The 25,693-nt window shown below is 44.8% G+C and overlaps 1 protein-coding gene and 1 long non-coding RNA gene across 8 annotated transcripts in view, besides 5 other annotated features; one reads left to right on the top strand and one right to left on the bottom strand.

The window, feature by feature from the left end:
• The window catches only part of SYT9-AS1 (SYT9 antisense RNA 1), a 28,209-nt gene extending 18,676 nt beyond the window's left edge, over nucleotides 1-9,533 (top strand). Inside the window, exon 5 of the long non-coding RNA NR_103855.1 lies at nucleotides 5,441-9,533. This is a non-coding gene — a long non-coding RNA (SYT9 antisense RNA 1). The remainder of the gene's footprint in view (nucleotides 1-5,440) is intronic.
• SYT9 (synaptotagmin 9) overlaps nucleotides 1-25,693 on the bottom strand; it is a 230,266-nt gene that overhangs the window by 21,884 nt on the left and 182,689 nt on the right. The window contains exon 7 of one of the 7 annotated variants that reach the window (XM_011519904.3): nucleotides 822-14,370. The exons of 5 other annotated variants lie outside the window; for them this stretch is intronic. In XM_011519904.3, coding sequence (XP_011518206.1) covers nucleotides 14,359-14,370 — 12 coding nt within the window. In that variant the 3' untranslated portion in view covers nucleotides 822-14,358. Of the gene's footprint in view, nucleotides 1-821; nucleotides 14,371-25,693 lie in introns of those variants that run through there. One more of the 7 variants, XM_047426378.1, reaches the window with a different exon arrangement.
• Nucleotides 4,270-4,319: an enhancer, noted in NCBI's record as "active region_4361". NCBI's record gives its function as "activates an Ori minimal core promoter by ATAC-STARR-seq in GM12878 lymphoblastoid cells {active_cell/tissue: GM12878}" and the evidence as "EXISTENCE:reporter gene assay evidence [ECO:0000049][PMID:35858748]".
• Nucleotides 4,270-4,582: a biological region, named in NCBI's record as "Sharpr-MPRA regulatory region 13298".
• Nucleotides 4,288-4,582: a silencer, noted in NCBI's record as "tiled region #13298; K562 Repressive DNase matched - State 12:CtcfO". NCBI's record gives its function as "represses a minimal TATA promoter and a strong SV40 promoter by Sharpr-MPRA in K562 cells {active_cell/tissue: K562}" and the evidence as "EXISTENCE:reporter gene assay evidence [ECO:0000049][PMID:27701403]".
• Nucleotides 10,427-10,476: an enhancer, noted in NCBI's record as "active region_4360". NCBI's record gives its function as "activates an Ori minimal core promoter by ATAC-STARR-seq in GM12878 lymphoblastoid cells {active_cell/tissue: GM12878}" and the evidence as "EXISTENCE:reporter gene assay evidence [ECO:0000049][PMID:35858748]".
• Nucleotides 24,010-24,069: a silencer, noted in NCBI's record as "silent region_3109". NCBI's record gives its function as "represses an Ori minimal core promoter by ATAC-STARR-seq in GM12878 lymphoblastoid cells {active_cell/tissue: GM12878}" and the evidence as "EXISTENCE:reporter gene assay evidence [ECO:0000049][PMID:35858748]".

Here is a 25,693-nt window from a genome sequence, read left to right as displayed (position 1 = left end):
GCTCAGAGAATCAGCGATATGAGGGCAAGATTGATCAGACCCCGAATCAGACACTTCCAGAACATTGGAAAGCTTTAGTGGTGCATCAGACAGAGTGACCTCACCAGCTCTGCAGACACACACACTTCCATGTTGCCAAACTGCAAATAGTGAAGCAAAAGGGCACCAGGATGTATGCCTCTGGGCCCTGAGGTGGACAGCCCTGGCGATGCTGATGTGTCCCATGCTTCTCTCCCAAGCTCCCCTCAGGGATTGGGTCCTCACTGCCCAGTGGATCATTCATGATTCAGCAGTGATTGCAGGAGGCCTGCGGAGCTGACCAGGGACCAAAGTGGGCTCACAGACAGAAAGGGCAGGGCAGGAACCACCTACCCACATTCTCCAGGAGGAGGGGAGGAGAAGCAAGGAGAAATGAGGGTATTGGTCTTCCGCCTCTGGAGAGGGAGCTTGTGGGCATCCCCTCCTGCTTCCCCTTGAGGGAATCAAGGCAGAGAGGCTGGGGGGGATGGCCAGGGAGGGCTTTTTCTTCCCTTGCTCTGGGAAGTGCTAGGATCTACGTTCCTAAAAGACCATCCTGTGGTACCTGTGGTATACCACATGCTAATGTTTGGGATCAGGAAGTTGTCATGTTGTCACTGGCTCTGGAGATCACTGGACAGGAGGACCAGCCCAAGAGTAAGCCCTCCTGAGAGTTCTCAAAGCAGGAGAATCAGTGTTTCTGGCCAAGACTCCATAAACCTCATGAAGCCTGGTTTCTCCTTTAATAATAATGATACTAATAATAGCTAATATCCATTGAGCACACATTAGGTACTAGGCACTCTTGTAAGTGTTCTGCATTTATTAACTTATTTAATTCTTACAACTCTCAGAGGAGGTTAAAAATTAATCTTCACTGTACAGTCCTTCCAACGATAACCATGATTATCCTTGAACATAGAGACTTGATATTCCAGCTCCATGATTTCAGCAGTTGGGAGCTTTTCATTTCCTTTGCAGCCCTTGGCTCGGTGATAGGCACAACTATAAGGTCAAGTGGGTGTTTTTCAGGCAAGTCTGCCACGTGGACTTGATGCTGTGCCTGGGGCTGGTTCCCAGCTTGGGGCTCCCACATAGACGCGGCTTATGCCAGGGCAAAAGCCAGCCTTGTGACCAGTTCTATGCCAGCTACAAGAGCTGGGCTTTTTAGTAACTTCAGCACAGGAGCCACGTACCGTGTACAGTAGGGTAGGATTGTCTGAGCCCAAACACTGGCCAGAGGACTAGTGCAGCCATCTGGAAGAGTCAGCTCACAAAGAGGAGACTTCCTCAGGGCCCCACTGTATAGACAGTGCCTCTGGGATTCCAGTGTTAGGAACAGTCTGAAGAGGATTCAGCCCAAGACTCCTGTCTATTAGAAAAATTGCCTCCCTGGCTGAAAGAGGCCAGGAAGCAGTTGCATCCCTGTGGGCCGTCTTCCCAGATGCTGCTTTGTGTGGTGTAGAAAAAAACAAAAAGTGACTTAGGTCAGAAACTTGAGGCATGACTATATCCCACCGTCAGCCAGCGAAAGCCCATGAGAAAGAGAGAAAAGGATGGTTGGAAGTGTAGGAGGAGAACAGGCATATTCAGGGTACCAGCAGTGCAGCAAGGTTTTTGGAGGAGCACCAGGCTGGAGCCATGAGAGGGTAGGGTCAGGGAGGAGGGGTACAGAGGGGGACTGCAGTCAGAGGTTCCCAGGCGACCATCCCCAAGGGAAGTCAAGGTCAGAGAGAGCAGAGAGCAGCCGTGGAGTCCAAGGCTGGACAGTGAAGCCCAGGGGCAGTCCCAGCCCATGCCACATATGCTTTCAGAGGCCCTGGTTCCCGCTGAAGCACATTTTTGGACATTTGATTTCTCCCTTCTGCCTCTCTCCTTTTCTTGTACATACATGTATGTTGAATAATATCAATTATCAAAGTTTACCTAGCATCCATTAAGTTCCAGATGCTGTGTTAAACATGTTACATTCATTTTTTCATTTAAGTCTCACACAGCTCTGTGAGGTAGGATCTATTGTTGTGTTGCTAAAGAGTGGAATAACCTGAGGTTTAGAGGAATTTAGAAACTTGCTCAAGGACACACAACTCAAAAATGGCAAAGCCAGAAAGTGAAGCCAGCTCCAGCACTCATGCTTTTAAATACCACACTCTCTCCTGGGTTCCCAAAGTGAAAAGACCCCATCCTGACTTTGATAAGTGGATGACAGCCCAGGGCCCTAGCAGAATCCCAGCAGGGGAAGACTCTCCTGGAAGCTCCTTGGCAAAACAAGCCACCCTCTTGTCTGTCTCCAGCCACTGACCTCTAAGTCCCAGTGCTAATCCTGCTTTGGAAAATCACAAACTCCATGGGAGATCAAAGGCAAAGTCCCAGCTCCCGCCTATCAATCCATTCCTGCTTGGCCCTTTATGTGGTGCAGGCCCCCAGGGAGGCAGCAACCACAAGCCAGGAGATACTCTCGGCTCTGCTTTCATAGAGAAAGCCTCCATTGGCTATGGAAATTGGGCAATTTTTCACTTAAAACCATCTGAAAACAAACTTCAGTGCCTTCAAAATTATATATTCACAGAACATTTCTAGACTCTGGAATAGGATTAGATGGTAATGATTTAATTGATGGTTAAGTGTGTAGATAAAATGAATATGCTGAATTCTTTCCGTAATTATCTCTCCAAGGAGCCCCAGCAGCTGTAATTACTGTCTGAGGCCAAAATTATAAACCAGCTGTAGTTTTAAGCAAAATACATTGCAGCCTCCACTGGATCATTGAAGAAAAGTCGGTCACGACCAGCACAGAGGCCCACTAGGACCCATCAAAAAGGGAGCACAGCCCTTGAAGAAGTTCATTCCCAAACCTCAGGGAATATGTTCTGGCAGCATTGTTCTACATCCTGGTGCCTCACTGTCACTGCACGCTGCTCTCTCCTTGCAGCTGGAAACCCTTCTTCCTCCCCTAGGAAGATTTCTCAGACCTGTCAGTTCATACTGATCTCTCACCCTGAGGATTAGAGAGCAGGCTGAGCAAAAAGAGGCACTATTAAATCTCAGCCCAGGGAGGATGGAGGAGCCCTCATCGACCTGCAGGTAGACTGGCAGTCTCACTACAACTCAGAGTCTGTACCCTTTTTGTAGCCAATAGGCCAAATTAGGTTCTAAATCTACTTCTATAGTAACTGGAATGTTACTTCTATAGTAAACTGGAATGGCTGCTTCCACTGATCAAATGAATCCAATCATGACCAAATTCTCTATAGAAGCTAAGCTCTTGCCTGAATAGTTATGCAAAATCCATGCATTCATTCAACAACCGTCACAGAATTATGGAGTACCTCCTATGTGCCAGGTACTATGTGAAGGATTGGGTATACAATGGCAAATAGAGCAGATATGGCTCCTGCACTATTGGACTGTGGCTCTTGAATTATCCTTCACTTGACTTGGAACCTGCCAACAGTCCTGTCTGGGACATTAGGATCTGCATCTGGAGATGAGGTGGTGGGTAGAAGAGAGTTTCAGGATGAAGTGGGCATGCTGAAGGTGAAGAACGGAGCACATGAGCTGCTGATTTCAGCTGAGCTGGCTGGAGACACTGGCCTTGGCTCCCAGGAGCCTTGTCTGCTGCGCAGCCTCTTTCATGCATTCAGCACTTCCTGAGGTGCCTACCATGTGCACGGGCTGTGCTCTCTGTGGTTCACTCCTTCTACCCCCTAAAACATGGACCCCATGCCCTATCCTTGCTGTGTGGAGCTCTTGCTAGGTATGACTAAGACAGAATACAGTACCAGGTAACACCATAACTGTTATTAAACAATCTAATTATTTTCTTATGTCTATTTCCTCAGCCAGATTGTAAATTCTGTGGGGGATGGGACCAGCATTTCCCCATTATACCTCAGTGCCAGGTAGGGTGCTTTGCACTTGCTCAGAAATATTCGGTTTAAAATAAATTCTCCAACTCCACTTCCAAAGGGGAGGCCAGGGGATTCCTTTTCAGGTGAACATGTTAGGCAGTCGGGTCTGCAGAACAATGAGCAAATCTAGACTTCCACAAGGGCACACCAGAATCCACTCATTCCCATTCAAAAAGTCCTCTCTCTCATTCTCATTCCTTCTTTCATTCTCATTCTCATTCATTCATTATCTCTCTCTCTCTCTGCTTTTCTCCCTCTCTCTCATTTTCCTCACTAGACTGTGTACTCCTGGAAGGCAGGCGCCATGTGTTTTTATCACTGAATCCTCAGTGTCTGGACATCGCGTGGTACACAGGGCCCCTAAATACTTTTTTTTTGAATGGATGTATCAATGAACCCATCAGAGTCCTGAAGAGTTACCTGCAGTGATGTCAATGGCCAGGGGAGGGCAGCAAAGGGCAGCAGAGCTGATGGCAGAGGCCCTAGGAAAGGCCTACTGCTCTTTGAGAGACAGATGCTTGTCATTGGGTCAAGGAACCCATTACCCATGTGAGTATTTGGAGATATTGAGAGCCCCAGGACTGGAGAAAACGGCTGACAGGAATCCAGAGAAGCCCAGTGTCATAAAGGAGGGGGACCAATTTGAGTGGGGAGCTGCAGAAGTGGGTGCCCAGTGCTGGGGGTGAAGGTGTGTGGAAAGAGGAGCTGAAATCCCGATTCCCAGCAAGATAGTCTAGAGTCACAGTGTTGGCAGCACGAGTCCTGTGCTGAGCTCTCTGGGACTCCAAACATGCCTGAAGGGCTTTGCCTCTCTGGTTCTTGAAATGACAAGTGTTCCGAAAGACGGGTCTGACACCATCCTCCACCCTGGTTTGCGCTGCAGAAGAGTGGGAGGAGAGAGCCAAAAGCAGGCCACAGCTGTATGTGTGTGGAGACGTGTTCTCCAGCCCCTCTTCGAGTCCCACCACAGGGGTGGGAAATGGCAGCGTTGGGTCTGTAGAGGAAAAGCTCCTCCCCTCAGCCATTTTCACTGAGAGCAGAGCGTTGATGGCATGTGCAGAGACATGGCAGGAGGCGGTGGGGTTCCTGGGATCATCTCTTATCTGGAGAGTTTCTCAGTGGGCGCTGCTGGTCTGGCAAGCTTTGAGATTCAGATTTCGTTTGCTGCCCTGTGGTGTCTGTGCTGGCTTGAGCTTTTTGGAATAGGCTACAAAATGGTTTGCTCCCAGGAGGTGGATAATGGAGTGCAGAGTTGTCATGAGAAGAAACAGGGTGCCTGTGGGGGAGAGTCATAGCTGGAAGGTTGGCTGGGTATTGCCAGGGGAGAAGGGGATGGTGTTTTTCTTGGTGTCCCAGAAGAAGGGATCCATCTCCAGGGCTGAACCTGTTGGGCCCACACAGTCCCATTCCTTTTGCCAGTGACTGCTTCAAAAATTGGCATACTTCTGGCCATGATGTGTAAGGAGCCAGTTTGCTGGGCACTTGAATAATTTTTTCCTTGCTCTTAACAGAGAGCTACAAGAAGTGCGTTTTCCTGTGGCTACTTTCATGTCTGGATGCAATGCCTAGACCTGCATCCATCTTGCGACCAACCTGAAGATGAACAGAAAGGAAGGAAGGATGGCCCAATAGCCTGGGAAGAACTGGTGTTCCTGATACCATCATTAACCACAGAATCTACAATCCCGGAACCCCCCATCCTTAACCATGGAATCTACAATCCTATCTCTAGACCCTTTGTCCAGATGCTACAGTTTCTTTGTTCAATCTAGTTTGTGTCAGGATTTCTGTTCATTACATCAAAAGTATTCTAATACTTGTAGCAAAGCAACTGGAGAAGTTTTCACTTTGTCTTTAACCAAAGAAGACTTCCAGGAAACATCTCCTCAGTGGGTTTCTCCCTCACCACTGGATTTTTATCTCTGTACTAGTGCTTTGATTTGTTTTAGGAGTCTCACCTCTCCACCTGTCATATTTCCCTGGCAGGCTCATTTCTGCTAATGCCCACAATATGTGTATCAATGAGCTTTCAACGTTAGGTACACAGCTCTTCAGGCATGTATAGCACATTAATCTGTCTGCTTCTAAGTGGTCTGTTGACATGTTTGGGTGCCAGTTATATCTACAAGGCTGTGATCATTGTCCTGGGTTATTCTGTTTGTTCTCTCTGCAGGATGCATTAGGACACCCAAGGCCATGGCCATCACTTACATCTAGGATTCAATCTTATCTCCTGTGAATCACTGGAAACCTCCTGTCCTGGAACCCTTTTTTTCCACATCCCACTGGATGTCATTCATAGCAACTGGTCTTGTGGGTTGTCTATTTTATTGTGTTGTCTTACTCTTCCTCCTGGTATCAGTTTTTAAATCCTCTTGATGAGATCAGCTGATCAGTCGCTAAGCAACATAGTCCCCCATGTCTTTGTAAGATTCTCTGCACTCATGGCTAGAATGATTTATTCTGGTATCTTAAGCTGTGTTTCAGAACCTCATTCTAAATATCAACCTATTCTTGTAAGTCCACTACTGATCATCTTTAGATATTCTTCAGTCTTCCAGAGTTCCAAAGGGCAGTAGGAAGAAGCAATGAAAATACCACCTGTATTCTCACATCTTTCATTGTTCCACTCAAAAAATACCACCATGTTCACTTCTGGTGGAACGTTTATGTCCATGAGAAGCAGTGGCTTTGAAGAGTTTTGGCAGACTATGGCGCCTTACTCAACATTGGGAAGGTATCTTGCCATCAGACCTTTTGGGTCTCCATGAAACTTCTTATACCCCCTCTGGGAAAAGTCACTAACTGTGATCTTACTGAGCTTCTAAACACAGCATTTTTTTTACACTTAAGTGAGCGGGGGTCCTCCTCATTTGTGCTTCTCTTCTTGTAAGGGTGACTTCCTCCCAGTAGGATGAATCTCATGCCTATTTGTGTTATTTTGCTAATTCCAGCTTCTTTTCTACTCAGGGGGGTTCCAACTCTTTTAAGGTCTCATCTTCAGCACTTCTAAACTGTGGGAAACTATGTGAAAACAAATGGAGTGGCCAAACACACCATTCATCACTGTGCTTCTGGACAGCTGCAAGTCCATACGTGTTCTGGTGAGTCTTCAGGTTGTACGGGAACAGAGGCTGAATCAAGGCAGTTCAGTGAGAGTCTAGATGGGAGTGCTTATGGTGTTCTATAATAAAGTACTTATGGAACAATAATAGAAATGGATTCTTAGAGAAGCCCAAGAGAAGGAACTATGATTGCCTCATTTCCCTGACATTTCTAAGTTTGGTGGCATAATCTAATTGACCCAACCCACCTTGGGGTGCCAGGCCATGTCATAAGTCACTGGACAGCCCATAAACAGCTTTCTGGGAGCATGTCCCCATCTTGATCCAATCACCTGTGGCCAGGACATTTTACAAACCTCGGTGGTTAGGGCTGCTTGTTCAACAGATATTAGGGGTGAAGTTGTACATGCATGCAGGGGAGGCTGAGATGGTAGGCACCGTGAATAACATGTTCCAGGGTGGGCTCTGCCTCTTGTCTGCTCTGTAACATACCCCTGCTTCCTTGTCCTGACCTCTCATTTGCTAAAGTCTGATTTCCAGCTTTGAAGTCTCTGCTCAATCTCTCCAGCCTTCTGCTCATGTCTTCACCTCCTACCTTGCAGCCTGTCTTTTGACTTGATGTTGCTTGACTGCAATTCCTGTGACTTGGCCTTGGGGTCCACTCCCATGAAATGCTTCTCTGGCAGCCTTGGCAGGTGTGTCCCAGTGTTCCTGAGTTCCAGTGTTCCTGGCTGTGTCCTTGCACCAGAGCAGGCTGCTTGAGATTAGACACGCTCCTCCCTCCTATCAGTCCACCTTGGCTCTGACACTTTCCTCAGCCTCCTTTTCTTTGTCTGCTGGAGCACAGCAAAGTTTCCCAGAAGGTTTAAATTTACATTCTTGGTCAAGGTCTCACACCATCATGACACTGAAGCAGATAGAGTGACTTCCTTCTCTTCTAAGCTGTGTGCATGCCTCCATGCCCCTACTAGTTTGTATAATTCCAGTTTCTATAATTTCTTCCATTCTTTCCTGAAACTTTGTGCTTTCTGTTAAAGTAGGTTTTTAGGGATATTTTTCAGGTCGGTTCATCCCTCTGAATGTCTTGGGTTTGTCTGATTGAAGCCAAATGGACACAGTGAGTGTTTCCTTTCTGAGTGGAGGGAGGTGGCTCTTGCATCACCTTTGGGTCCTTTAGAGCTTTAGAGTAAATGCTCAAAGACTGCCCACAGCTGGATTTGCTGGCTGTGAATTAGATCTGGGAGGAGAGGACTTAGCAGGAAAAAGCTTCTGTATCTAATGCTGAAATCAGAGATGAAGTCTGAACAGAAGTGCGACATCCAAGAGTCAGGGGCGGGATGTAGGAGGTGCATGGGATGACAGGGGCGGGGCTCTGATCTGAGAAGGGCAGTTTCAATGTGCACAGCAGAGCACTGGGGAGGGGATGTGTTGTTCCATACAAGCTGATGGAAGTTGATAGAAGAATAGGAACAAGGCTTGGATGGTGGCAAAAGACCTACCTGCACCAATGTGAAAAAAGGGGCCCTTTCAAGGCTGAGCCAGGTTGGAAGAGGGCAGAGCTGCTTCCAGGACACCAGAGAGTGCAGCAAGTATGCAGAGAAAACCTGGGCACCAAGAGACCTGGGAGAGAGGAGGCAGATGGGTGGGCCAAAGTTCTGGTAGTTGGGAAAGGTGATAGAAAGCACTGCATTAATGCTGGGTCCTCTGCCCTTGTACTAAGAGCAGCACATGGCTGCCTCTGAATCCTGCCCATGGAGTAACATTTGCTTCCATATGCCACAAAGATGAGATGGGGCCCTGATGTGCCTGTTATAGGAGGGCAGAGCATCCTGTGTGCTCTGTGAGAAGAGCTGGGCCACGTATCTCCAGGTCAAAGCCCGCACAGCAGTTATCCCCTCCCTCTCTTGTATCTTCAACCTTTCCTTTCCTATTGGGAAGGATTTCCGTATTTCCAAGAGCCTGCTCAAGTGGGGTCAGCATGTGTCTCTGGTCACCACCCTCTCCCCTGTGGAAGGCTGACAACTCTCCCATCTATACAAAATTTGAAACCACCAATTATATGATTGACACTATTACACTGGAACAATTTCCTGTCAGACTCCCCCACCAGACTCTTTACAGGCCGGTGCTTCATCTACATCTCTCTGTCCACAGCACTTGGTGTAGTATTCGCAACCTAGCAGGAATGAAAGAGTCCGTGTGGAGTCAAGCACCTCAGGGAACCCCTTGAAAGCAGTGACACATACCTCCAACAAGAATTGCCTCTTCCTTCCTTCTGTGGCTTTGCACAGCATTTTTCTTTAATTATAAACACAGTTGGTCTCTCTATGCTGTTTAGGCTAAGCACAGCACAGCTTCAAACTGGAAGGTTAAATATTTGTGGTAAAAATAACTTATTTGTGCCCATGCAAATGTGGCAACACAAACTCAGGCATGTAGTGTTCTATGCAGAGAAGCTAAAACCAAGGAATGACATTAATTTCCGGTGAAAATATGTGATGACAATCTTAGAATTCTGGCTTTTCAGAAAAAAAAAAAATCACTCTAGAGGGTCCTAAAAATATGGGCAGTTGGTGATGAGTCCATATTCCTTCTTATCACTCCCACACTGGATCCAAATACAGTGGTCGTTTTCAAAGTGCATATCACACAGTGTTTATTGAATCCATAATGGGCAGTGGCCCATTATGGGTTTGTGAAATTAATTTAATGATTGTGACCAGTAGTCTATTTTTAATGAAAAAAAATTAAAAAGTGCATCACGTTATGTTTATTAATTTCGTGAAACTTTTGTTTCAGTTTTATATCTATGTCCATGTCATGACTGAAATGTATATCTAAATGTGAATCAATGCCAAGAACATTTGTGGCACACTGCTCCCTTCCATGTAGAACTGGGGACTTATTGAAATACTGTGCTACACCTTACATTCTTAACACTAAAGTCTTTGTGAAGCACTGGAAATTCCAAGAGCCAGAGAAATGAGAAACTTAGGCTATCTCTGGAAAAGTTATCCTTATTTAAGCACTACAATAGAACAATAAAAAATAAGCTACTGGAAAGCCTGGGTAGAGTTACAGTTTCCCAGAATCTTAATTGGCTGCAGAAAGGAAACAAACACTTGTCCAGCGTCTTTCACTGCTTTCACCAGATATTATGCTAGGTGCTTTCAGGTATGTTGTATCATTTAATCATCCTCACACAGTTATCTAAAACTAGCTACTGATATCCCCATTTTACAGAAGAGGAAATGAATCCTCAGAGAGATGAGATAATTTGCTCAAGCTCAGCAGCTCGAAGTGGCTGAGCTGTAATTAGGTTCCTCTTCCTGTTAGACACTAGTAACAACAGCACAGCTGAGGTCGTCCACCAGGAAGTTGAGCTGGGTCACGTCTTCCTCTTTGATTAAATGATTTTGCTCTCCTCAATTTGTCTGCTTCGATCACAGTAGCTCTTGCATTTATCTGTTTTAGACCTTCAACTTTCAAATTAGATTTGACTTCATCAAAGAATTTGGCCAAAAACAAACAAACAAACAAACAAAAAAACCAACTGGACACCACTGTATTAAACAAGTAATTTAAGTCTTTGTGTGTATGCTTAAGTTTGCTAAGAGCTCTTACATTTGTACATATACATGCATATAAACAGCATATTACAAATAATCTAGAAACATATAGGAGCACCATGGACCCTCAGTCTGAGATCCGACTAAGCAACTTCTCATTTTACAATTCAAATGCAAATCCATGTTAATCCTACTGAAGATACTGTCCCCACTTTCCCTCCCTCCAAGGCCACCAAATTCCTTTCCCTGTGGCTGGCTGCTGCACCAACACTTCTCTCCCTTTTCCTAACCTGCTCTTTCTTCAGTTTCTTTACTGCCTGGAAGGAACCTTATAGGTAACCTACTATCCTACCCACCTCAATAGCAAGCATGTCCTGCTCAGCAGCACAGAGCCTTAAAAACAGAGGCCACCTAATGTTCTCTTAGCATGGAGTGGATAGTGATGGTGGAAGGGCTCAGTCCTTAAATTCCAAGCCCTCCTCTCTAAAATTGGAATGGGTGAAGTCCTGAATCTGGCCCAGATCTGTTTCTCCTATAATAGTCCTGGCTCACCATTATTCCCTGTCTCATGGAGTTCTCTTCTGGTCTTTTCAGCTGATTTTTTTTTTTCTTTTTCTAGATGAAGTCTGGCTCTGTTGCCCAGGCTGGAGTGCAATGGCACAGTCTCGGCTCACTGCAACCTCTGCCTCCTGGGTTCATGCAATTCTCCTGCCTCAGCTTCCCAAGTAGCTGGGATTACAGACATGCACCACCATGCCCAGCTAATTTTTGTATTTTTAGTACAAACAGGGTTTCACTATGTTAGTCGGGCTGATCTTGAACTCCTGACCTCAAGTGATCCACTCCCCGCAGCCTCCCAAAGTGCTGGGATTACAGGCGTGAGCCACTGCGCCCGGCCTTTCAGCTGATTTTCTAATCAAGAAGTTATATCAGTCTTTGTCTGCAGTTGCTCAAAGACTCTCTTTTAAAGTGCAGAGACTATCCACCTCAGCTATAGCACAGGGCTCAGCACTGTATTTCCAGTTATGGAATACAGTTATTTCATATATGTTATATTATTCTTAATTCTGTCCCTAGTTCCTGCTACTGAGGAAGTCCATACTCAGCAGGACAGTCTCCTGGTCTGCCATGAATTCAAACACAATCTGTAAAGACAGTGAAGGAAGCTACATCTGTGCATGGGGGCTTTAGAGAATTATTGGCTTGAAGCAATAAGAGGAACATCTGGGCTGAGTAGTCCTCGAAGACTCTCATGTGATTCAAAAGTCCTTTTCTTCCTTATTATTTCCTATCTTGCTCTCAAGCATCTCCTCTGGCAGCAGCAACTGGAACTAAAAGTGATTTCTCTATAACAGCGAGCAAGTTTCTCATGGCCTTTGCTATTAACTCTTTCATGCCTGCTGACCTGCAAAAGAATCAGGAGGGCTGGTGCTGGAGCAGATGGCGCACTGTGAGTGATGGTTTAGATTCTGCCTGGACTCAAACCATTTGGTTGATGGCGGGAACCTTGATTTTCCCCCTTCTTATCCTGAGAGTGTAGGGTTTCTCTGAATTATTATTTCTTTCTTTGCAAGGATCCCTGGATCCTCATTCCTGATATAAGACTAGTTCTAGGTAAGTGCACATTCATGTGATATATTGGTTCCATACTAGGCAATGGAAGTGCCACATTATCTGTAAGGAGCAGGAGAAGAGCCATTAGCCCCAGTCCTGGGAACGAACTTTCTGTAACTTTAAGAAACATAAAACTTTAAATGCAACTGAAAGATTATATTCTGTCACCTCCAACTACTCACCCATAAATACAATAGGCACCACGGAGGCTAGGATAAAGTGCAAATTTAAGATTATAAGTGTGCTTATAATAAATATTGACAACATCATGCCTTCAATGTTATCAATGTTGATGTCACCCTGCAGGCCCAAGGTAGAGAGGTAGAACTGCTCCGCTGGCTGCCCTGCCATACTTTGGGGTCATGTGATACGATCTTCCATAGCCACGGGGCCTTGGTTGTCAACTCATTCCTGAACTTTGTGTGCCAAAGTGAGTCCAGCTTCCACACCCTTCACCTCCACCACCAGGCTGATCCAGACTGCCAGGCTACGATCCTCCAAGCAGGATCCTACCTTGATCTTAAAAACTTCCTATGAAGAGCTCTACCATCATGTTTTCTAAAACCAGAAGCCCACCCTAATCCCTGCCTGGCTTTTGGTTCCTTCATTAGAGGCAATCACTGCCATAGAGAGCCCCACTCACTATCCCTCCATAGACGCCTTAGAACTAGGTTGGGAGCACGAGATGCTCAGCCTTTATATTTTGTTATCTTGAACCACATGGGAGTCTTTGAGGACTACCCAGCCCAGACATTTCTCTTATTACTGCAAGCCGATAATTCTCTAAAGCACCTAAGCACAGACGTAGCTTCCTTCACTGTCTTTACAGATTGTGTTTGAATTCATGGCACAGCAGAAGACTGTCCTGCTGTGTATGGAGTTCCTCAGTAGCAGGAACTAGGGACAGAATTGAGAATAGCACTAACACCAGAAATACAGTGCTGAGCCCTGTGCTGTAGCTGAGGTGGATGGTCTCTGACTCTGTGGGCCTCTCTGCAGCCAGTCCAATTCCTGTCTTTCTCTTGTGAATAAATGTTGCTGGCTCCAACTCAGCCTTATTTTTTGATGTGATTCTGACTCCAGTCATTAAGGGGGATGTCTTAGTCCTTTTGGGCTACTATAACAAAATATCTTAGATTGGATAATTTATAAATGACAGAAATTTATTGCTCACAGTCCTTGAGGCTGGAAAGTCCAAGATAAGGTGCTAGCTGATTTGGTGTCTGGTGAGTGCTAGCTCTCTGCCTCATGGATGGGGCCATCATTCTGTGTCCTCGTATGGTAGAAGGGGCAAACAAGTTTCCTTGGGCCTCTTTTATAAGGGCACTAATCCCATTCATGAAGGCAGAGCCCTCATAACCTAATTGTTTCCCATCTCTTAATACCAGCACATTGGGGATTAGGTTTCAACATATGAATTTTGGGAGGATGCAAGCACTCAGACCATAGCAGAGAGAGAATGCAGATAAAGCCCCAGCAAAAAGCACACGCAGATGTGGATGTATTTGGATCCACTTCTCCGTTCCCATTTCCAGGACTTCATTAAGCATTAATAACAGGAAGAAAAATTCAGAATGTTCATATTTTAAAATTTATAGTCAATCTTAATCCCTTTGGATGGTATTTACTTTCTTGATTGGTGTATTAGTCCATTCTTGCATTGGTATAAAGAAATATCCAAGACTGGATAATTTATAAAGAAAAGCAGATTAATTGGTTCACAGTTCTGCAGGCTATACAGGAAGCATGGCACTGACATCTGCTTGGCTTCTGGGGAGGTCTCAGGAAGCTTTTACTTATGGCAGAAGGCAAATAGGGAGCCAGTGTGGCAAATGGCAGAGCAGGAGCAAGGGGGGTGGAGGTGCCACACACTTTAAACCAGATCTTGCAAGAACTCCCTCACTAGCATGAGGGTAGCACCAAGCCATGAGGGATATTATCCAAACACTTCTCACCAGGTCCTGCCTCCAACATTAGGGTTCACAATTCAACATGAGATTTGGGCAGGGACAAATATTTAAACTATATAATTCCACCCCAGCCCCTCCCAAATCTCATGTTCTTCCCATATTGCAAAATACAACCATGTGTTCCCAATAATCCCCCAAAGTCTTAGGTCATTCCAGCATTAATTCAGAAGTTCAAAGTCCAAAGTCTCATCTGAGACAAGGTAAGTGCCTTCTACCCATGAGCCTGTAATATAAAAAATCAAGTCATTTACTTCTAAGATACAATAGAGGTACAAGCATTGGATAAACATTCCCACTCCAAAAGGGAGAAATTGACCAAAAGAAAGGGGCTAGAGGCTCCATGCAAGTTTTAAACCCTGCAGGGCAGTCATTAAATATATATATATATATATATATATATATATATATATATATATATATGTATATATATTTTTTTTTTTTTTTTTTTTTTTTTTTTTTTTTTTTGAGATGGAGTCTCACTCTTGTTGCCCAGGGTGGAGTGCAATGGCACAATCTCAGCTCACTGCAGCCTCTGCCTCCCACGTTCAAGCTATTCTCCTGCCTCAGCCTCCCGAGTAGCTGGGATTGAAGGCACCTGCCACCATGCCCAGCTAATTTTTGTATTTTTAGTAGAGACAGGGTTTCACCATGTTGTCCAGGCTGGTCTCGAACTCCTGACCTCAACTGATCCACCTGCCTTGGCCTCCCAAAGTGCTGGGATTACAGGCGTGAGCCACCATGCCCGATTGTTGTTAAATCTTAAAGCTCCAAAATAATCCTTGACTCTATGTCCCATATCCAGGACACACTGGTGCAAAGGGTGGGCCCCCAAGGCCTTGGGCAGCTCTGCCCCTATGGTTTTGCAGGGTTGGCCCCCAGGGATGCTCTCGTGAGCTAGGGTTGAATACCTGTGGCTTTTCCAGGCACAGGGTGCAAGCTGTCAGTGGATCTACCATTCTGAGGTCTGGGGGCTGGTGGCCCCCTTCTCATAGTTCCCTTAGACACTGCCCCTGTGGGGACTCTGTGTGGGACCTCCAATCCCACATTTTCCCTTAGCACTGCCCTAGTAGAGGTTCTCTGGGAGGGCTCAACCCCTGCAGCAGGCTTCTTCCTGGGCACTCAGGCTTTCTCATACACCCTCTGAAATCCAGGCAGAAGCTGCTAAACCTTCACTCTGGTACCCACAGTTAAGCACCTGCAGGCTTAATGCCACATGGAAGCTGCCCAAGCTTATGGCTTGCATTCTCTTAAGTAGCAGCTGGAGGTGGACCTGGGCCCCTTTGAGCCATGGCTAGAGCTGGAGCAGTAGGGATGTGGGGAGCAGTGTCCTGAGGCTGCACAGGGCCGTGGGGCCCTGGTCCTGGCCCACAAAACCATTCATCACTCTTAGGCCTCTGAACCTGTAATGAGAGGGGCTGCTGCCAAGGTCTCCGAAATGCCTTTGAGGTCTTTTTCCCATTGTCTTGGATGTTAGCACCTGGCTCCCTTTTAGTTATGCCAATATCTCTAGCAAGTGGTTCCTCCACAGCTTGCTTGAATTTCTGTCTTGAAAAGCTTTTTCTTTTACTGCCACACGGTAGGCTGCAAATTTTCCAAACTTTTACACTCTGCTTCTTGTTTAAATATAAGTTCCAACTTTAAGTCATTTCTTAGGCTGTCAGAAGCAGCCAGGCCACATCTGGAATGCTTTGCTGCTTAGAAATTTCTTCTGCCAGATACTCTAGATCATCACTCTCATGTGCAAACTCCCACAAATCCCTAAGGTATGGACACAATACAACCGAGTTCTTTGCTAAAGCATAACAAAGATGACCTTTGCTCTTGTTCCCAATAAGAGCCTCATTTCCATCTGAGGTCTCATCAGTCTGGACTTCACTGTCCATATTACTATCAGCATATTGGTCACAACCATTTAACCAGTCCCTAAGAGAGTTCCAAACTTTCTCTCATCTTTCTGTCTTCTTGTAAGCCCTCCAAACTCTTCCAACCTTTGTCCATTACCCAATTCCAAAGCTGCTCCCACATTTTCAAGTATCTTTATTGCAATACCCCACTTCACTTCTGGTACTGCTTTTCTTGCATTGCTATAAAGAAATACCTGGGACTGGGCAATTTATAAAGAAAGGAGGTTTAATTGGCTTATAGTTCTTCAGGCTGTACCAAAAGCATGGTACTGACATCTGCTTGGTTTCTGGTGGGGCCTCAGGAAGTTTTTACTCATGGCAGAAGGCAAAGGAGGAGCCAGCATCTCACTTGGCAGAGCAGAAGCAAGGCAGGGTGGAAGGTGCCACACACTTTTAAATGACCAGATCTTGCAAGAACTCACTATCAAGAGGACCGCACCAAGCCATGATGGATATGACCCAAGCACCTCCCATCAGGCCCCACCTCCAACATTGGGGATTACAATTCAACATGAGGTTTGGGCAGGGACAAATATTTAAACCATATTAATTGGTTTTATGACCGCTCTTTAGTAAACTTTACTAATATGAACACTTACTATTAATATGTAAAGCATCTAAGCACACACCATTCAGATCCTAAGCTATGAAGGAAAAAATCACCCTATTGTTTTCCTGCCTTATTCATAACTGCTTCTGTTTCTGACAATTTGAGTATAACTCATCATAGTGTACCATATACCTAAAAGTTACAATTGCATTATATAATTTCTCAATGAATGGTAAAGTTCCCCTTGCTTTATAGAAACCCTCTTTTCTTTATTTCAAGCATTTTGATTATCAATATCATCACATTTTACATCCTGAATTTTATCTAAGGTGCGAAAAAAATATGTAATTCTACCACCAATGACTGAAGACTTTAAATATACATTTGAGTTTTACATAAAAATAGATAACGTAGAAATAAAAATAATACTAGAATTGCTAAAATTATTGTGTTAAAAGAGTGTAGATCTTCATTTTTGCTGTAAATAAATGAATTGCAGTACATCACATAAGACATTGAAGGGAAAGGACAGCTATGTGACTGATCTTCACTCCTGAGGAACTGTGCCTTTATCAGCTCAAGGGAGTGATCATAAAATGAAGAGCTTCCCACAGGCCCTGAGACTCCATGTAGAATTTGAATAACATATAAATGCAAAAGGAAAATAGTTTTTTTCTTAACCTTATATAATATTTGTATGTCACTGAGAGTCAAGTGTCCCTCTTTTCACCATGCTTGTTTTAACACACAAGTTAATTATCTGAACATTAATAATTTGCTCCATTAGGAAAACTTTAATGGGAGTCTACTGTGGGCCACACACTTTGTTAGGTATTGGACATACCGCAGTGAGCCAGGCAGAAGAGCTGATCTCGCGACAGCTTTGGGAATGGTTCTCTTCACTCCCAAAGAACACCAACTGGGGCAGTGTGAGTGTTCACCTGTATCCTAAATAAGATGTTTTTCATTTCAAATAAAATAAATTCTGCTTAATATTGCTTACACAACCAAGGGAATATATACGTTTACATACTTATAAAGGCCAGAGGTAACACTATGTTTGGGAGAGGTTTGATTTAGGAGCTCAACCACATGACTGAGAATCTGGTTTCTTTGTATCTATGGGCTTGGTTTCTCCCTAAACCTGGATCTTCTATAGAGATCCAAAGAAGCCACAGCTGCTCCCAGGGTATATAGTGCTTTGTTTATATCCAACAAGAAAGAGAGAGCATCTTTGTCCAAACATTCACACCAAATGTTTTATAATACTCTTGGACTGAATCAGCGTATGCAGTGGTAATCCTTATGGTTAGCTTGACAGGTTTAGCCTGGAACTGTCATATGTACCATCACCAGAGACAAGGATGGAGCCAGGCTCCCTAGAATCATTAATCAGAAATCAGGGCCATCAGAAAAGGGGCTTGATGCTGGAGAGGCAACTAATAAATATTCACTCTGTCGGTGTATGGGTGCCCACAGGACTGGGCAGGATCTTTTGTGAGGTTCCCTTCTGCTTTTTGTTGCTGGAGTGTGAGTACTAAAACCACCTATTCCAACACAGACCCTCCATTAATTTGGCTGTACTATTCTATTGTCTTCATTACTACAACTTAAGTATTCACTCATGGGACTTCCCAATTTCTATTCCTTAGAAAGCATCAACAGTTTACACCCCAAGACTCTTTGAATCCCAGGCTCAAAATCCTCAACTTGCTGTTCCACCTCAGCTATTATATCATGACACTGATCCAAACCTAACCAAGGTCCCCACCTCCCCACTTCATCTCCCTCGTCACATGGAGAGACCCACCTTAAACCACACTTCAAAGTCTCAACAAATGAGACTCTGCCCTTCCCCTTCCATTACCTGGGAAAGCAATAAACTCAGCTTTGTCTTATCAATAGGTTGTTCTGGTGATGTTTGGAAGACAGCATTTGACAAGTGCGTCTTCTGAAAGATTCATATCCAGGAGCAGTGGGCTTCCTGAGTGTCCTCTGCCAGGGTGCTCCGCCTTTGCCCCAGGCCCCATTCCCCAGGAGGGAACAGTCTTCCTCCCACCACACTATCAGGAGGGAGTGTGTTTCTTTCAGAGAGTGGCATAAACCACTCTGGTTCATTTCATCTGCGGGGAAAGAACTGGCCTATCATGTTAGCAATCACCTCTGAATGCCATCCCTGGAGATGGAGACAGCTGATGGCTCAAGCCCATTGTCATCCACCTTCCTATTTAATAGCTATTCAAGTGTGCAGCAGGGATGCTCCAAGGCAGTGACTACTGGAGCAAGGTCATCTGTAATGACAGGAGAGTCAAGATGCAGTTGACTTTCTGTTCAGGCAGAAATGTTATTTTCTACCACATTGTCATTATCTTTTATACCTCTAGTGTTTACCCTAAGTACTCCTATGTTTTGTATGATTACTATCTCTACAAACCTTCAGAAAAGTCACAAAAGTCACCCATCCCTGACAAAGATGAGAAAATGCCTACCGTCTCTCTCTCTTTTTTTCTACAGATAATTCAATACAAGAAAGAAGATTTGCTTGGGAAGGTCTGAATGGCCCTAGCTTTGTTTGTTAACCATAACCTCTACCAGCTGGAAACACAATGCCCCACTAATACTAACAGTGCCTGCTTGTCCAAACAGCATTCTGGCCACTTACAGCAATTGACACAAATTCTAACAGGTCTGTTAATGTTTTTCAGATCCTAAACTTGTAGTAGATTTTTATGTTCTCTGCAATCAGTTTTGCTTCAGCGGCCCTGCAGGTGTTTATGCGTGCTGGCATGCTAAATCTCACCATTCAAAATAGTTTATTTTTTACAACAAAATCTGAAGAATAATTTCTTCATTTTGTCAAAAAATACCCCATTCCTATTATTTTTCTCTTCTTTATCTTCACAGGTAGATGGGGCAAAGCATTACCTTGTGTAAAACTGCTGCTAAAATATATTCCTAGTGAGAAAGGTCAACTTGTGGGCTAAAGTCCTTGTCACCTCCTGATCAGTTTTCACTTAGGGCACAGCAGTCTGCCATTCACCATTGGGATCTCTGTGTGTTTCTTCTCTCTTATGAAAGGACATATTGAGCGCTCTAGGACTTGGCTGCCTACATCAAGTAGAGGGGGACCCTCATGATTCACTAAGGGGCCTCAGTTCTGAATATTTCTCATTATTCAAAAATGCAAAGCCATTGTCATTACGTGGCAGTTTATTGGAACCAAGGGAGGAATTGGTCCCTTTTCATGTTCTTCTCCTAAATAGAGAAAAGGTAATTAAAACTTGGAGCTTAATAAGGGCCATCTCTATTTGAACAGCCTAATACAAATCCATTCTCAATACCTTTTTACACCTTGTCTGAACTGACTTCTACTGTGTACTCCACTGCATGGGAATTCTGGAACTTTAGAACGAAGGGAACTCAATTCATTCTATATATATCTCATTCATTCATTTTTTTTTCATTTGTTCACCAAATGCTAACTCAATACCTACGTAACAGAGATAATGTTCTTATTGTCTGTAAATCAGAAAATGCATGCATTGAATAAACGCCATATATTCTTGGAAGCTGAGGGCTGATAACTCAAGGTAAATGATCAGCTAGTCTCCTATGAAATAAGTATCTTATTTCATGTTACATGTAGAAATGACCATGCAACTTTATCTTAAAGCCAGGCCTTATTGAGAAAAAGGGGATCCAAATTCCAAATGTTTCCTTACATGCTGAGAGGAAACCTTGGAGGTCTGAGCGTGAGTCATAGGTAGAGGGAAATCATGCTAAGATATATATTGTTTCCACCAGACAGGTAGAGGAAGCAGAGACCCTTTGGCAGAAGAGATACAGAGAAGAGAGGAGGAGAGGTTCTGGCTTTACCGTTCAGGCTTGAAACCCCAAGTTTAGATGGATTGAGGGGGAAGCTTAAGGCAAACATGACCCCTGGGCCAACACAGGCTAGAGGAACAATGTAGAAATGACCATGTAACTTTATAGGCATGAAGAAGATGCCTGTGATGGCACTGAGTCTCCTGTGGCTCCCTTGTGTGCCCAAATGCCTGAAGGATGTGAGAGTATTGGTTGTTAGAATTTCAGGGAATTCCACCAAGTGGGGAATGACTCTGTATTAAGGGCTGCAAAGAAAAGCTCCCAGGCCAAGCATTGAGTGGGAGGTGCTACCTGCCCTCAGGGATCCACAGGGACTTCAACAGCTGATGTGGGGTCTCATCAGCCTCAAGGTGGCCAAGTTTCTATGCTGAGACTATAGCCCACAGTTACACCAGCCATGATCCTCAGCAGCAGAGGTAGTGATGATGAAGTCTGATGCCCAAAGACAAGCAGAACAATATGCACAGTTCCAGCCAATGCCACGAGGTAGCCTTTGTACTTCCCTATACCTAGCTGGGAGGGAGGAAGGAAGGAGAGAGGAGACTCCTAGGAAGAGGAGAAAATAATTATCCCAAAGAGACTGACATAACCTGGAAAAGACCGAGAACTACTAATTAGCAAGATAAAGTTCATTTACCTCTTCCTGTTTCTTACCAAGATGGTATGTATCCTTTCAGATAATAAATAAATTTATGTTTTCTTGCCCTATTTTAATGTGATTTAAATGTTTCTTGTTTTTTCTGTTTTCATTCATAACAAAAATTTTGTTCTCAGAGACACTGAGACATGAGACACGATGCTGGACTATATTGGGGGGGAGCACCTCATCATATGGGCAAGATATTGCAGCAGCATGTAGCCCTCCACGTCCTGACTGCTCACTTCTCTTTCGCCATCCCCTAACACACGTATTAGGCTTTTGCTATGTTCATTTATCTAGCCCATAAGCCACTCCTTCAGAGGGCAATGCATGGAATTGGCAGCCTTGGTTCCCCACCAACTGACAGGGGTCTGGAATTCAGGTGTTTCCAAAGACCTGCAGTCTTGGGGGCCTTAATGCTTGCTGAGTAGCAGCACTTTCTAGGACTTTCCCTATTGTACGTTTCAGTCCATGCTTTTCTTTTTGTCTTGTCTCAGTGTTCTTCCCTGCTAGTCTGGTTCTCAACAAGACCCAAGCCCTGCAACACACCCAAATCCCCTTGATGGGAACCTGATTTCCTACGTGGCTTTTCCCAGTCACCCCATGCTCTCCCCACTCCCATCTTTCCTGGTGAATTGCTCCTTTCCTAAATCTGTTGTGAATAACAATTTGGCCACAGTGCTAAAGCCTCTCACTCCTCACTTTAAATTCCTTTGGGAAACAGTCATTCATGTTCATTTTAGACAATTTCCCTGTCCTGTGCGGACTCTTCTCAAGAAGTCTACTCCCAAAACTCCTGCTGAGGTAGGTCCAGGTCACATTTTCATGACCCCAGACCTACAGCAAATTGCACCGGGATGGACACCTAATCAAATCTTGGGCAATCAGATACATTCTCCTGGGAATATGTGGATCTCCAAGACTCCAGATAGGCCCTGCTGGACACTTGACAGATAATATCTAGAGATGGTTTACACGGGCTGCTTGTGTAACTACAAGTCTGGGTAACTGACAGTTGCTGTAGTCCTTTGACTCTAAGTTTATACCCTTCTAGAGGCTGAGGGTGATAAATGAGGGCTCTGTTTATGTCTGGGCATATTGTACCATAACTGCCTTCTGGTTATACTTGGCATTATGTAATTCTGAGTTGAAGAGGGGCAGGAGGCTCAATGAGCTGGTCCCAGCAGACAGTCAGACATGCAGAACTTTTGTAGCTGTATGTACGTGTATGCACAAAGGTTGAGCTTGGAGTGAGGCAGACATCCAAAATGGGGCACGCCTTGAGTAGAACTTTGGTGTTTGGAATCCTACACCTATGCCTATAGGATAATAGTGCTGATCTTGACTATATATTCTGATCGGATTCTCTTTCTTCTTTTAGAAAAGTGAAATTTCATTTAACCAGATAGTGTCTGTGTCTCGTCTTCCCACCAAACCAAGATTAGTACTTATTCATACAACAGATGTTACATGGCACTACACAGGGAAGCGATGAAAACTTGGAACTATTTCCTATTATTCTCCATGAGGCTTATGATGTTGGTCATCTTGACATACAGGAGGCAGGAAAGGTGTTGTGATATGGCCAGGCCGAAACCATCTTCTCTTGAATTGGTGGAGGAGGGTGCCGTGCTAAGGGAGCTCTTAGAGCTCTGTCATCTGAGGCCCTATGGAGGGGGTGCTCCGATTCCTAAGCCCTAGGCAGTCTGCTTGGGGGAGTTTTCACAGCTTTCCAAACCTTTGGCATCATGGGGAGTAAAGGGAGCCCTACTGGCTGACCTTTGAGTGTGCAGTGAATTCATCCAGAATTCCTGCGAGAGAAACGGATTTTTGAACTCACTGGCTTTGAAGATTCCATCTGCCACCTGCCCTGGCAAGGTCAGGGTGTATTGGATGCAACCCTGAGCAGGCTGCCAGATCTCTGCAGGGCTCAGAGTTTAGACCTAACCAATTCCTCAGCAGTGAAGAGCTTCTGCCAGGCCAGCCTCCCTCCATGCTAAATCCCAGGGCCCCCATCTTCGTTCTCTCTCCCTCTCTCTCTGTCTTCCATACACACATGCTCATGAGTGCACACTCACATACTCTGTTATCATGAGCACTGAGATTTAATTGCTGGTTTTTGTTTTAAAGAAGACATTTAAAAGGTTCTTAGAGAGCATAACAGCAGCCTGTCTTTAAGGCCAAGGAAAAGAGGAAAGAAACAAAACTTAAATATGTGCATCTGTGTTTAGCCAAGTACTGGATGACCCCTTCCCCCCACTCTGAGATGATGGCTCACTGGGGTGCAGGAGTGGTGGATTCCCGGCCTTTCTCTTATTCTCCATGACACACATGGATGATATTTCTTCACAGGACATAGGCCCATAAGGACACACAGCAGCCCCTCAGAATGTGGGGCATACATAATAACAACTATAACTGAAAACTTTACTGAGTGTTTATTATATATCAGCTACAATGCTGCATTTCATATAAATAGATTGTTTAATCCTCACCATCCCTCTTGTGAGACAAGCACTGTTATGGCCACTTTACAGATGAGAACACTGAGGTTCAGAAGGGGAAAAACAAACATCTAGTGAGTGGCAGGACAGCAATTCGAATATAGGTCCTTCCAACTCCAAAGTGAATGTTTCTGGCCAGTCTGCCTGTTGCCTCCTCCATCCTTACAGCTGCTAACGAAGCATGGCCAACCTCTCCAATACTGTTTTTCATCTCATCTGGTACCATTGCCCCAATTCTGCCAGCTCAATGTTCATTTTTAAAAGAAAAAGCATCACTTCCTCTCTCAGGATGGATCTGGAGTCCCAGACGTGTACTTCAAAGAGACAGGAAGCAACGGGGAAGAGGCAGCCTCCCTCTGCCTCTGCTTATAGGAAGGTTTGCCCTCCCCCTGCTTATATGAAGGCTTGCCCTTCATATAAGCCCCACAGGCATTTCATTTCCTTAGTTCTGCTGTAACAGTTCAGAAATGACCATTGTATTGGCCAAAGTAATTTTAGCCGCTGTAACAAATGACTTCTAAGTTTCAGTGGTTTAACCCTAATGGCATTTACTTTTCAGTTACATAACTGTGGAGCACAGATTTCCAAAAAGCTGAGTGTTTGGGGTTTGAGGAATATCTCTCAGGTGAATGAATTTATATCACACTTTTTCTCCACAGTGAAGGAAAAGGCCTCCAAGGCCTGCTCCCTGCACTCTCCTTTGTGTAACACGTGCATATACTGCCACTCAGGGACCCGTGTGCAACACTCCACCCAGGACTACTCCCCTGCCCAGGTCACTGAAAAAAAACTGCTTGTGCATGAATCAGGGCTCACCTCTCAGCCCTACACCACACACCTCATCCTTACTCCTTTCTCATTTCTTGTTTCCTGAGAAGCACAGAGCTTTAACACTCTCTGATACTCCTAATTACCAATAAGAATTAAAGTCAGCAATGGCTCATAAGGGTGCAAAAAGTCTATTACAACTCTTCTAAATGCCACTGCTAGTGACAGGCCCCCAAAATCTAATGAGCCCACAGATGGACTCCTTTGAGAATTCCACCAGGAGCTGAAGAAGTGAGGTATAGTTCAGTGAGCACCAGTCTCCAGCTCCTTCTCAAGTGGCTCATAGATCCTGTGGGTCTCCCTTAGGGATCAATTTTGCTCCTATGGCCCACGGGCAGAACTATCCTTAAGAACCCGCAAATTAGGGGGTCCTAGGCTCTTCTTGAATACATCTGGGTGCCCTGATGGTTAGAATCCATAAACCCTGTCCTGCCTTCTCCTTCCTGCCCCACTTCCAACAAAGATGTCCCTTGGTTCCCCTGTCTGGGTTTGGGGCCTCTCTGCCTCTCTGCCTCTCCACAGCCGCCCTGTGTTCACTTCAACCAGACTCACCTGACTATCAATGGCAGGGGTGCCCACACTGGGTGAGGCTCTAGTCTTGGCCTCTCAGATGGCTTTGCATGGAAGAGAGCTTCCTGCACCAGGAGAACAGAGGAAAGCTCTCTGCCTGGAACCCACGCATCCTCAGTAAATAACTGCTGCTGCCCTCCTGGCTTTCCAGTTCCCGGGGGCTCAGTTCTCTTTACTTATTGAGAGCATGAAGGAGAGATGCTTCACAATCTCCTCTAAGCACAGTAAACATCTCTCTCCTTTGCGCTTTTGTAGCACTTTATATGGATGGAAATGCTTGTATTTGTGCCTCTCGAAGATTAGTTTACATGTCATCTTTTGTTTATTTTACAGTCTGTAAGTTCTACAAGGGAAAGGACTGTTTCTTATTCATATCTGTATTTTCTGTAGCTATTATAGCATTGGACCCTCAGACATGTTACTTAGGGAGTGCAAATTATTTTTGAGAGAACAAGTTAGTGAATAAATAAGAGAGTGAATCAATGAGCAAAGATAAGTAGGGGAAGAATGAATGAGAAGTAAAGGGGGAGGGAGTGAATGAATGAGGATGTGAGTGGCAGAATGATGGCCGGTTGACTCCAGGTTTTCACTTTCCTCTTCTCTGCAAACAGAACCCTGGTTTTTAGTTGGACACATTGACACCCAACAAAAAGGTTACATTTCCA

The sequence above is a fragment of the Homo sapiens genome, chromosome 11 (genome assembly GCF_000001405.40).
Source record: "Homo sapiens chromosome 11, GRCh38.p14 Primary Assembly".
NCBI lineage: Eukaryota > Metazoa > Chordata > Mammalia > Primates > Hominidae > Homo > Homo sapiens.
The sequence above is the reverse complement of the archived record's forward strand: the minus strand, read 5'-3'. Positions and strand labels throughout refer to the sequence as shown.